This window comes from Homo sapiens, chromosome 18 (assembly GCF_000001405.40).
Source record: "Homo sapiens chromosome 18, GRCh38.p14 Primary Assembly".
Taxonomy (NCBI): domain Eukaryota; kingdom Metazoa; phylum Chordata; class Mammalia; order Primates; family Hominidae; genus Homo; species Homo sapiens.
The window spans coordinates 90744-103989 of record NC_000018.10 but is presented as its reverse complement, the minus strand read 5'-3'; positions in this window follow the sequence as shown (position 1 = coordinate 103989).

The following is a 13246-nucleotide window of genomic DNA, read 5'->3' as shown; positions in this document are numbered from 1 at the left end:
GTCTTGCTCTGTTGCCCGGGCTGGAATGCAGTGGCATGATCCCGGCTCACTGCAAGCTCCTCCTCCCAGGTTCACACCATTCTCCTGCCTCGGCCTCTGGAGTAGTTGGGACTACAGTCGCCCGCCACCACACCCGGCTAATTTTTTTGTATTTTTAGTAGAGACGGGGTTTCACTGGGTTAGCCAGGATGGTCTCGATCTCCTGGCCTCATGATCTGCTAGCCTCGGCCTCCCAAAGTGCTGGGATTACAGGCATGAGCCACCGCGCCTGGCCACAGAGATCTTTTAAAACAAGAGTCAGCAAATATTTTCTGCAAAGGGCTAAATGTTAAATATTTTAAATTTTCCAAGCCATATGGTCTCTCTCTCAATGACTCAGCTCTTCCATTATACCATGAAAGTAGCCAGAGACGTTATATAACATATGTATGTGGCTGTGTCCCATTACAACTTTACTTACAAACGCAGACTGTGTCAGACATAGTCCATGTATGGTAGTTTGCCACACCTTGTTTTAGAAAGCTCAGGTTTATGATGTGATGGAGAATTCCTACAAGAGTTCTTGTTTTAAATGGTAGAGTGAACATACACTGGAATTCTATACTGCTTGACCCAAGCTTTTGATAGCAAAAGGTAGAAAAGACAGATAGTAAACAGATAGATAGATGATAGGAAGGTAGATAGATAGATGATAGATAAAGAAAGTACATAGCTGTTCCAGAAAACAGAAACTGATAATTTCATGAACCAAAAGCAGAGTAATATACTTTAGAAAGGAAGCAGGCTGGAAAACCCACAGTTGCAAAGCAAATGGAATTTCCAACTGCCTCTTGTAGCCCCTTCCTTGAAGTAGTCATAGCCCAGGGTGTTTGACTTCTTCCTCTGTTTTTTGTTTGTTTGTTGTTTGCTTTTCTGTGGGGTTTTTGTTGTTGTTGTTTGCTTTTTTTAAAAAAAATTCCCTTTCACTGCTTTTTTGTCACAGCAGCCTTTGTCGCTTCAAACACCGCAAGTGTTCTTTTAAAAGAATTATATCAACCTTTCAAGTGAAATGCAACATGTCTGAAACGTGGTATCTGGAGAGGTGAGATGGACAAAGGAGCCCTTGTTACTGCACGTTTTCATTCTCCAAACTTCACCTTGCACGCAGTAACAGACAATGCACAAATCCACTTCCTTATGGACGCAAATTCTGAAATCCTTTTATGCCTGGCCTTTCCATCCTTCAACTTCCCCTTTCCCATGCTGTGAATGATTGTATTGGACATTTTTGTTTTAATCTCAGTGACAGGGGAACACAGGTAGCTCTAATATAGCTGTGTCCCAGATGCTTCTGTTTCTAGCATGTATTTATTTTGCAGCAAACATTTACTTCCAAGATTTTTCACTGTCTTTTGAAAATAATTAGGCAATATCTCATCTGAGGTAGGATGTTTCTAGGGGTTGTGTTCTGAGGGAGGAAAACTAATCTGTTCTCTTTCCACTGCATTCTGGGAACAGTAAGAGGACCTTGTGAGTGAATAATTTGTTTCCACATTACAGAGTGGGTAATAAGCAGATTAGTAAAAACAATTCTGCTTCACTTCAATAACAGCCTCCTCCAACTCATTTTTTCTCAACAAACTTATTTTTCCAGCAGAAGAATCCCAGACTTCTTAGAGAACCCAGTGACTTTTTGCACCTTAAATCTGTGAAATCCTCACGTTTTCTTCTGCTGTATCTATAGTTCAAACAAAGATGAGGCAAAACTAGACGCATTCCTGAAGGAACCCAAGAAATTCCTCTCTTTCTGTCTCGGAATGAAATGAATTCTCCAGACCACTAGTTCTAACCTTCAAAAACCAAACCTGTTTGTGAGATCTCCTTCAAATACTACTGTAGACCCCAGTATTTATTCATTAAATTTTTTAAATATTTGTTTTATTTGGAATCAAAGTATTTGTAATTTTAGTATTTGTATTAATATAAGGGAGAAATGTTTAAATCTGTCTATGCCATATGTGCCTCTGGCTTATTGCCCAATTAATTGTAGTCTCAGGCTAAACTTTCGTTTCTGTCTTCAATTTTTGTCAGAAGAAATATAACTGATCTCAAAACATCTGCTTTTATGTAGGGACTCGTGCTGCCATCTCCATTCCTCTCTCTTTTTTTGCAATCTGGGTGGAAGTTCTTTAATATGAACATTTCAACCACCTTCATTCTACCATATCCACTATGAGCACATTCAAACGTATCCAGCCAAGGCTGTCATCTTAGGCCAGGGATTTTTTAGGAATCTATTTTGCTGTGATGCGGCTGGCACCCCTTTGATTCACTGTATCACCCCAGGGTTCTTTTCATTTTATAAGCCCAAGAGGGCAGAAAATGAAGTAGATGAGCAATTAAACACTGTGAGTCAGGAGCGTCTCCCCTTGTGTTAGGCAATGTTGTAGAACATCGTATTTAGCAAGCTCCTAGCAGATGAGCCATGTGGCTTCTGAGCACACGTGCCTGCTTGCTGCTGTGAGCTCAGACACCATCATCATGTCTTTTCCATCTCTGGAGGGAATTGTAAGGGCCACTTAATAGCCTGTAAATCAGAGAGATAAAGGTGCTTCCCCAAAACACTGATGACAGAATGAAAGGTGAGGAGTGTTAGCCACAGGTCAAAAGTACAGGAAAGTCTCTCAGTGTGGGTTGCTGAAGAAATGCAGGTCTTTTTTCTTTTGGACGTCTCCCTAGAATGGGGTCAAGGACTCTGCCCATTCTAGGATGAAAAATTGGGATATTAGACACACTCAGATATTTATCCCAAACTTTCAATTTGGGCTCTTAATTAGTTTGTTCATCCATCACAATCTCAAATGCTAAGCAGGACATTTGAATCTCTCCACAGTCCAAATCAGCACCGTCTTTTAAAGTTGAGTTTCTTATTATTCTCACCTGATATACCTTATTTATCCCACACACACCCCAATAACATATTGTGCTCACTGTTATCTTTGAGACAACACTTGAATTTTACTCAGCCTGGCGTGCTCTTCACATATCTTGTCCAGATCCAGTTGAGACTCATTCTTCAGCCATGCATCAGTCAATGGGGGCTAGGTTAAACTGTGGTGACAAACAACCTCCAAATTTCAGTGGCTCAAAAATCTTCTTCCTCATTTATTTACATCTCATCACGGGTCAGGTGAGAGATATCTCTGTGCTGTGTCATCCTAACACAGGAATCCAGATGGAAGGAGGGATCATCAATAAGATCCCCATTGCTATAGAAAAGAGAAAAAAGCATGCAGAGTAGAACTCTGTTTCTTGGAGATTTCTCCTGAAAAAGTCACATGTTATTTCTTCTCACCTCCATTAGCAAAAAATAAAATAAAAATAAAAATAGAAAAGTCATGTGGCCATGGAAAAATTTAAGTAGGTGGGATGGAACAGTCAGAATGCATTCATAAAAAAATGGACTGAAAATATTTGGAGAACAGCACCAATGACTATCATGAATGCCAACATACATCCCTAACAACCCAGTGCTGTTACCCTCCAAACATTTTATGTCTTGCAAAGTATTAGAACTTCATATGTGAAGCCATACCACTCAGAGGGAATGCAAAATACATAATGACATCTCCTTTAAGATGTCCTTAGAGAATTCAAGGAAAAGAAGTTAAAGGATTTAAAAGTGCTTTTGGGTACAGCTATTTAGCACTAGACAGTAAGATTAGACATAGATTGTAAAGATAATAATAGGGTTAGGGATAGGATTAGGATCTGGGTCAGAGTCAGGGCCAGAAGTATGGTTAGAGGTGGGGTCATGGTCAGGGTCGAGATCAAAGTCAGGGTCAAAGTAAGGGTCAGAATTAGGGACCAGGGTAGGGATCAGGGTTTAGGTTCAGGGTCAAAGTCTTGGGACAGGGTTAGGGTTAGAATTAGAACCAGAGCTTTGTTCTCGTCAGGACCCACCCGAGGATGGGTCACCATGGCTTTGGAGCACCTGGTAGTGTGGCGTGTCCACAGTGAAGACCAGAGTTTCGTTGTCCTTAAGACTGACCTGGGAGACGTGGCTGCAGGCCATTGAGGAAGGTGAGGCAAAAGCTTCCTGTCTGCTCCCCGTGTGCTGAGGAGGGAACTCTGCCATGGGCTTTACTTTCACACGTTTTATTCTACAAGTCTTGTTTTACAAAAGCATCCCTTCCTTGAGGCTTCGGCTGCTCATCGCAGCTCATCACCATAGCGTGCCATAACATATGGTAAGATTTGGGCTTGTTTCTGGGAAGAGATCTTGGTATAGAGACAGGGGAAATGCTTAGAGCCACCATCAGGACAGTTGGGATGAAAGCTGGGGATGGGCAGAGGCTGGAGGAAACACGTGCACCCCCTGTAAACACTTTTATTCATGTTTTAATTGCTCATTTTTCTTACAGTGTTAAAGTAGTAAAAATAGTATTGAAAAATTGAAAAGTAGGCATATTAAAACTTGCACCATTATTTAAGTTTAAATATATTGTTTGTACCTCATCATTTTTTATTTTGTTGGGAAAGTCTAAGGTTAATTGCAGCATAGTTGTAATAGTAGACAGAATAATGTCTGTTTTATAAACATTGACATACTACATTACATGTATGAGCCCTGAAAATCTGAGACAGCTCTCAGATTTTTTAGAAAGTTTATTTTGCCAAGTTTGCAGTGGAGCCCCCGTGATGCCTCCTCAGGAGGTCCTGACAACATGGGCCCAAGGTGGTCGAGGCACAGCTTGGTTTTATACACTTTATACACTTTAGGGAGACATGAGACATCAATCAATATATGTAAGGTGTACATTAGTTCAGTCCAGAAAGGTGAGAAGGCCAGATAGGGGGCTTCCAGATCATAGGTAGGTAAGAGACAAATGGTTTCATTCTTTTGCTTTGCTGATTACCCTCTCCAAATGAGGCAATCAGCTATGCATTTATCTCCGTGAGCAGATGTGTGACTTTGGATAGAATGGGAGGCAGATTTGCCCTAAGCAGTTCCCAGCTTGACTTTTCCCTTTAGCTTAGCGATTTTGGGTCCCCAAGATTTATTTTCCCTTCACAAGGTCTAACATGTTTTCCTATGAGCATTAATTATTTATTGTGTATTTTATTACACAAATAAGGCATAGATTTTTTAAAAATCATCAACTTCATGCCTAGCTACATAGACATAATTCCATAGAAGCTCAACTAAATTTGAGCTTAGGGTTAGGGTTCGGGTTAGGGTTCGGGTTAGGGTTAGGGATCAGGTTTTGAGAGTGTGGTGAGGATCAAGGGAGGCACTTGGCAGGAGGAGGCAGATTCAACTTCCCTGGGGATCAGGGTTAGGATTGGTTAAGATTACAGTGGTGGGTTAGGGTTGGGGTTGGGTAGAGGAGGTTCTGGGAGGCTGTGTGAGTTTGGGGCACAGAGCTCCTCTTAAGATGCCCCAATAATCATTCACTCTGCTGTTAAAATGTTAGGATATTGCTAGCTACATGCTGATAAGGACAAAGGGGACATTCTTAAGAGAAACCTGGCACCATAAGTACAGATTAGGGCAGAGAAGGACATTCGAAAGAGATAGGCAGGCACAGTAGGTACAGACATGACCACTGTAGGACCTTCCTGGAGTGGCAGGAAGGAGCCCAGCCCCAGCAGTGGAATCACACTGATCACTGCACATATGTGTCAGCCAACAGTGAGGGGGTCCCACAAGCCTAGGCGGGGCAAGTCAGGGATCTAAGGAAGGAGCAGGAAAACCAGACAAAGAAAAGAGGTGGAGACTTGAGGAATGTGAAGAAGTCCAACATAAAACTCCCTGCTCAGGACCCTGGGGCTGTGTTCCTGCAGATCAGCCCCACTTCTCCCTTGAGGCATACTTATTTTTTCTACAATAAGCTCTTTACACTATATTTCTTTTCAATGAAGTTATCTGCCATCTTTGTACTGCCTCTTGGTGAGAATCTTTCTTTCAAGTTAGACAAGAACTGGGACATCAGGTCTCCCCAGTATTAGCTCCATTTCAGTTTGAATTTGCAGAATTGATAGTGCTGAACAACCTGCACTCCAACTTTAAGTGGTGTAGGAAGAGGCCAGCAGGGTCAGACCCTGAAAACAGACCAGCCACGTCTCCCAGGTGGACGCAGCGGGTTCTCCACGAACGTGACTTGGGGATTTAGGGCACTGAGACCGTGCTACCCACCCCCCTTAAAAATCCCTCGTGGCTCCCAGTTGCCCTGAAGGGGAATCCCAAACTCTTCAGAGGCAGCACATGCTGGTGGGTGAGACTTGGGAGCCTGAGTCCAAGTTCCAGCCTGGCCGCTATCGGCTGTGTGACCACTGGCAACTCGCCTAACCTCTCTGGGCCTCACGGGCTCGTTGGAGGATGTGGTGAGAGAATGACCGAGATGAGCTTAGCACAGTGCTGGCCACACTGTCGCTGTTCAATGCCAGGTGGCTGTGGCAGCAAGAGGGCCCTGCAGTGTCTCCAGCCGCCAGCAGGGTGCGTGCCGCCACTACACTGGGAGCAAGAGGGCCCTGCAGTGCCCTGGCCGCCAGCAGGGGGCGCAAGGCCATGACACCGTGAGCAAGAGGGCCCTGCAGTGCCCCCGGCCGCCAGCAGGGGGCGCAAGGCCATGACACCGTGAACAAGAGGGCCCTGAAGTGCCCCCGGCCGCCAGCAGGGGGCGCAAGGCCATGACACCGTGAGCAAGAGGGCCCTGCAGTGCCCCCGGCCGCCAGCAGGGGGCGCAAGGCCATGACACCGTGAGCAAGAGGGCCCTGCAGTGCCCCCGGCCGCCAGCAGGGGGCGCAAGGCCATGACACCGTGAGCAAGAGGGCCCTGCAGTGCCCTGGCCGCCAGCAGGGGGCGCAAGGCCATGACACCGTGAGCAAGAGGGCCCTGCAGTGCCCCCGGCCGCCAGCAGGGGGCGCAAGGCCATGACACCGTGAGCAAGAGGGCCCTGCAGTGCCCTGGCCGCCAGCAGGGGGCGCAAGGCCATGACACCGTGAGCAAGAGGGCCCTGCAGTGCCCAGGCCGCCAGCAGGGGGCGCAAGGCCATGACACCGTGAGCAAGAGGGCCCTGCAGTGCCCCCGGCCGCCAGCAGGGGGCGCAAGGCCATGACACCGTGAGCAAGAGGGCCCTGCAGTGCCCAGGCCGCCAGCAGGGGGCGCAAGGCCATGACACCGTGAGCAAGAGGGCCCTGCAGTGCCCAGGCCGCCAGCAGGGGGCGCAAGGCCATGACACCGTGAGCAAGAGGGCCCTGCAGTGCCCCCGGCCGCCAGCAGGGCGTCCACACCGGGCCGAAGCGAGGGTGAAGCCCGCGTCCTCCTCGGCACAGACCCGGGGGGCACCGCCTCGCTTTGGGACAACTCGAGGCCATGGTGAGTAAAATCCTTCCTGTTTGCAGCCCTGACTACTGAGGGTTAGAGACCAGTAAGCGGGGTCGGTGTGGGAAACTGGAAACCAAAAGCCCCTCCGAATCCTGAGCACTGAGGTTCTCCCCACCCAAGGCGAGGCGGGCGCAGTGCGAGGTCTACACCGCGGCCTTGGAACACAAATGGAGCGTTCCTAATGCAGATATGCCTCCCGAAATACGAATGTGACACTCGCAGTGCTCAGGTAACAAACACCTGTAATGCTAATGCGCTGCCTCAATACAAAAATGTTAATATGAAACCCCGTGCTCCCCACACGGCCCCGCAGTCCCCGCTCACAATAATCAACACTGACATAATCAAAACTAACGTAGCCTCCAGCTGCTCACAGCTGCTGCTGAGCTGGAGCTGCCTCGGGCTTGGCCTCCACAGTGGAGCTTGTTGTCGTATCTGCTTCACGGGCGTGGAATTGACACAGTTGTTTTAAAAAGTAGCTTACTTCCCAATAATTCCATACTTTCAGGAAACTTGCAACGGTAGTGTGGAGTTTTCTTTCTCTTTTCTCTCAGATTCCTCAGCGGTTGTTGCTGAGCCAGATCTGCATCTCACAGAAAACACCCCAGTGTTTTTCACCCAAAACAGGGACCCCTCCCAGGTAAGCGCCAGGTGACCCCAGCGCAGGAGGCCACGTTTCTACCTGAGGGTCGTGTCCGCAGGCCCGTTTCACTTCGCAGCCACCCCGGCTGGGTGGAAAATGTCTCTTTCCATCTGGGTCCAGTTTTCCTTTTCTGGAGCCTTCGCAGAGTTGAAGAGCAGAGCTGCCCCCAGCCTGGGTCTGCACAGCGGTTCCCCCTGGGCAGATGCAGACGCCGCACTCCAGGTGGGAACTCGCAGCCTCCGGCAGTGCTCCGCACAGCGAGTTCCCCGGAGGAGCACAGACCCACCCACACCCCACAGAGACCTCAGGGTGATTGTGACAAAACTCTCCTTTACAAACAAGTCTCATCCCATCACTCTTCTTATTTAACTTTAACGATGGTTTCCCACTGGCCTCAGAACAGGGGTTGCACAACTGACCTGGCCCCCAGTCCCTGAGCGCTCCCACCTGCTGCCCACCCGCCCAGCCCAGCCCAGCTGCCTGCGTTGCGGCCTCCACCTGCAGGGACACAGCAGGCTCTCGGGGGTCTTGGGAACTCTATGCACATCCAACACCCTCTTATCAAATACTCTTAAGATTCTGTCTACCTAGATCCTTCAAGTCACAGCGGTTATGATGTCTAACAACACAAATGTTCTGACGTGATTTTTTTAGACCAAAAAAAAAATGTTTGGTAGATCATATGTGAGAATCACCCTTAATTTATAAATCAAGGAAATAGATACATAAAAGCAGAGTCCATATTTGGGATAATCAGTAAAGAAAAATAAAAGCTCAACACAGAATGAAAGGCAGAGGGCACAATTGATCATTGAAATTTCATAAGAGTTTACTGGACAGAATATTATCTTACTATATTCTCCAGCCCTGTGTGTGTGTATGTGTGTGTATATCACACATATACCAGTTGCAAAAAATTTCAGGTTTAAACACTCATGTTTGCTTTTTATTTTTTATTTTTTTTGAGATGGAGTCTGGCTCTGTCGCCCAGGCTGGAGTGCAGTGGTGTGATCTCAGCTCACTGCCACCTCCACCTCCCGGGTTCAAGTGATTATCCTGCCTCAGCCTACTGAGTAGTTGGGATTACAGGCGCCTGCCACCACGCCCGGCTAATGTTTGTATTTTTAGTAGAGACCGGGTTTCACCATGTTAGCCAGCTGGTCTCGAGCTCCTGAGCTCAGGTGATCTGCCTGCCTCAGTTTCCCAAAGTGCTGAGATTAGAGATGTAAGCCACCTCGACTGGCCTACTCATGTTTACTTCATTAGTCAATACGGTTGATTAAGAAGTTAGGGTTAGGGTTAGGGTTGGGGTTAGGGTTAAGGTTAGTTTTAGGGGTTAGGGTTTAGGGTTAGGGTTAGTTTTAGGGGTTAGGGTTAGGGTTAGCTTTAGGGGTTAGTGTTAGGGTTTAGGGTTAGGGTTCAGGTTTGGGTTTGTGTAGTGTTAGGGCTAGGGTTTGGGTTAGGAGAATTGCTTGAACCTGGGAGGTGGTGGTTGCAGTGAGCTGAGAGTGCGCCACTGCTCTCCAGCCCAGGCAACAATGGGAGATTCCGTCTCAAAAAAAAAAAGAAAAGATAGTAATACCTACTTTTAACAGTCATGAGCAATATTTTTTTTTAATGTGGGTCACTTCTTTATTTTTCTGATTGCTAGAGCCATGTCTCAAATGCAAACATCCTCGTGCTTACTTCATGCAGCTTCAGACTTGCTCTGCAGACGAGCTGATGATCACCTTCTACAAGTGCTGCAATTCTCAGGGTGGACACCGCTGTAGGGATTAGGACTAGGATGGCCCAGCTGCTTCAGTGTGTGCTTACCTTGTCCCTTGGGGTAGATGCTTAGCTGGCAGCGTGAATCATGTGTCCTGAGGGTCTTTGCTGGTGTGGTGGAAAGACAAACCTTTTGAGGTGAAGCGCCAGGGTGTCAGGAAATGTGGCCTATCTGCTAGTCAGAGTGGATGAAGTCATGAATGTCAGGGAGTTTTTCTGTATGGGTAGGAGACGGAGACCCATAACTAAGTATGTGCTGTTTAAAGTCCTGTTCTTTCATCTTCTACATTTATTGGCAGTTGACATTCCCTTACTCCCAATCAACACTATTTGTTTTAATTTTGAGACAGAGTCTCACTCTGTTGCCCAGGCTGGAGCGCAGTGGTGCGATCTCTGCTCACTGCAAGCTCCACCTCATGGGTTCACGCCATTCTCCTGCCTCAGCCTCCCGAGTAGCTGTGACTACAGGCGCCCGCCACCACTTCCGGCTAATTTTTTTGTATTTTTAGTAGAGACAGCGTTTCACTGTGTTAGCCAAGATGGTCTCAATCTGACCTCGTGATCCACCCGTCTCAGCCTCCCAAAGTGCTGGGATTACAGGCGTGAGCCACCGCATTCAGCCTCAATCAACGCTCTTAAATGTTTGTACTGTTCGCAAAACTGAGTACATTAAATGTCTCTAAATATTTAACTGTTGCTTGTAAACTTAATTTAGTATTTATTTTAATCAAAATTCTGAATATTTCATTAAAATGAAAGTTCTAATATTGCCTTCTCAGTGTTTTAAATAGCTTATTAGGTAGAAAGCAAACCCCAAATCACAGTGATCCCAAAATTGACTACATACGTAGATTTGAACAGGCTATGAAAATCCTCATCACTGGTATTTCAATTTATTTCTTTACTCCTACTCTTATTCCCTTATTCATTTTTTGAACCTTCCCTGATTGCTTCCTAGGGTTGCATTAAACGTATAAGATTCTATTCTTTTTTTTTTTTTTGAGACACAGTCTCGCTCTGCCGCCCAGGTTGGAGTGCAGTGGCATGATCTCGGCTCACTGCAACCTCTGCCTCCTGGGTTCAAGTGATTCTCTTGCCTCAGCCTCCCAAGCAGCTGGGACTACAGGTGCCTGCCACCATGCCCAGCTAATTTTTTGTCTTTTTAGTAGAAACAGGGTTTCACCATGTTAGCCACGCTGGTCTCGAATCACCTGACTTTAGATAATCCACCTGCCTTGGCCTCCCAAAGTGCTGGGATTACAGGCATGAGCCACAGCGCCCGGCACTATGTTTTTATACTTTATACTTTCTGTGTTAATCATTCAACTCTCAGAAGAGAAAGGAAACCTCAGACTAGCTGAGTCTAGGTTATTGATAATTGATTCTTGGTCAAGGCCCCAGTCTTAATTGCTTTCTAAATCAATCTCTCTCTCTCTCTCTGAAAGAGATGGGGTCTTGTTTATGTTGCCCAGGATGGCCTCAAACACCTGGGCTCAAGTGATCCTACCGCCTTGGCCTCTAAGTAGCTGCCACCACTCCCCACTCCACATCTTTTTTTTTTTTTTTTTTTTTTGAGACAGGGCTTTGCTCTGTTGCCCAGGCTGGAGTGCAGTGGCATGATCTTGGCTCACTGCAACCTCTGCCTCCCAGGTTCAAGCGATTCTCCTGCCTCAGCCTCCTGAGTAGCTGGGATTACAGGCATGCGCCACCACACCTGACTGATTTTGTATTTCTAGTAGAGATGGGGTTTCTCCCTGTTGGTCAGGCTGGTCTCAAACTCCTGACCTCAGGTGATACGTCCACCTTGGCCTCCCAAAATGCTGGGATTATAGGTGTGAGCCTCTGCCCCCGGCCAATCTTTACATTTAATATGATTGTTTTCATATTGTTTGAACATGTTAACCAGTTCCTGAGCTTATTGTCTCTAATTGGCTCTAGTTCAGAATAGTTTGTTCTGGTTTCCCAAATGTGATTTTATCACGTGGGCATTATCTGTAACGTCTTCTGCTTATGCTGTTAGTTTTACTTCCTCAGGTGACAGTTCTTCTGTTCAGTTTTGTTGTTGGAAGGCAGCATGGATCCACGGTACACATCATGTACTCTGAAGCCAGTGTCCCTGACTGCGCCTTAGCTGTGAAACCCTGGTCAAGTTGCAGAACCTCTGCCTTCATTTCCTCATCTATAAAGTGGATATAATAATAACCTGTTTGAGGGGTTTACAAACTGTTTTCTTAAGGGTCAGAGGGTGAATAGTATAATTACTTACTTTTTAATTTTCTTTGAGACAGGGTCTCACTCTGTTGCCCAGGCTGGAATGTAGTGGCATGATGTCAGCTTACTGCAGCCTGGACCTCCTGGGCTCAAGTGATCCTTCCATCTCAGACTCCCTAGTGGCTGGGACTATAGGTGCGCCCCATGCCCAGCTAATTTTTTTTTTTTTTTTTGGTAGAGACAGGGTTTTGGCATGTTGCCCAGACTGGCAACTTCCATATGTTTTTTATAGGCAATTTTTAAAAAATTTTATACTTCTTCTTTAATTTTTTTGAATTTAACCTCAGAATGTGATTATAGGCAAAATTCAAAATGTAATAATAATTGAGTTTAATTTTTGTAATGTGGGTCTATTACTGAGAAGAGTGGATGCCATTTTGCTTAATTGGGGTTCAAAGTTAATGTTCCCTGTCATTGAAATCAATTGCAAATGTGCATCTGTGAATGCTGGTTACGTGCAGGAGAGCAAATGAAGTATACCATTGACACCACTGAAAGAGTCAATAGATTCACCACTGACAATGGATTCAGATATTTCCCACAGAGTTCTTGCTGATGAATAATACAGAGAAGCAGGCGTGGTGGCTCACACCTGTAATCCTAGCACTTTGGGAGGCTAAGGTGGGTGGATCACCTAAGGTCAGAGGTTCGAGACTAGCCTGGCCAACATGGGAAAACCTCATCTCTACTAAAAATACAAAAATTAGCTGGGCATAGTGGTGCATGCTTGTAATCCCAGCTACTCTGTGGGGGAAAGGAAGAGAGATCAGACTGTTACTCTGTCTATGTAGAAAAAGGAAGACATAAGAAACTCCATTTTGATCTGTACTAAGAAAAATTCTTCTGCTTTGAGATGCTGGTAATCTGTAACCTTAGCCCCATCCCTGTGTCCACAGAAACATGTGCTGTATTGACTCAAGGTTTAGGGGATTTAGGGCCGTGCAGGATGTGCTTTGTTAACAATGTGTTTGCAGGCAGTATGCTTGGTAAAAGTCATTGCCATTCTCCATTAACCAGGGACACAGTGCACTGCGGAAAGCCGCAGGGACCTCTGCCCAAGAAAGCCTGCGTATTGTCCAGGTTTCCCCCCACTGAGACGGCCTGAGATATGGCCTCGTGGGAAGGGAAAGACCTTACCGTCCCCCAGCCCGACACCCATAAAGGGTCTGTGCTGAGGAGGATTAGTGAAAGAGGGA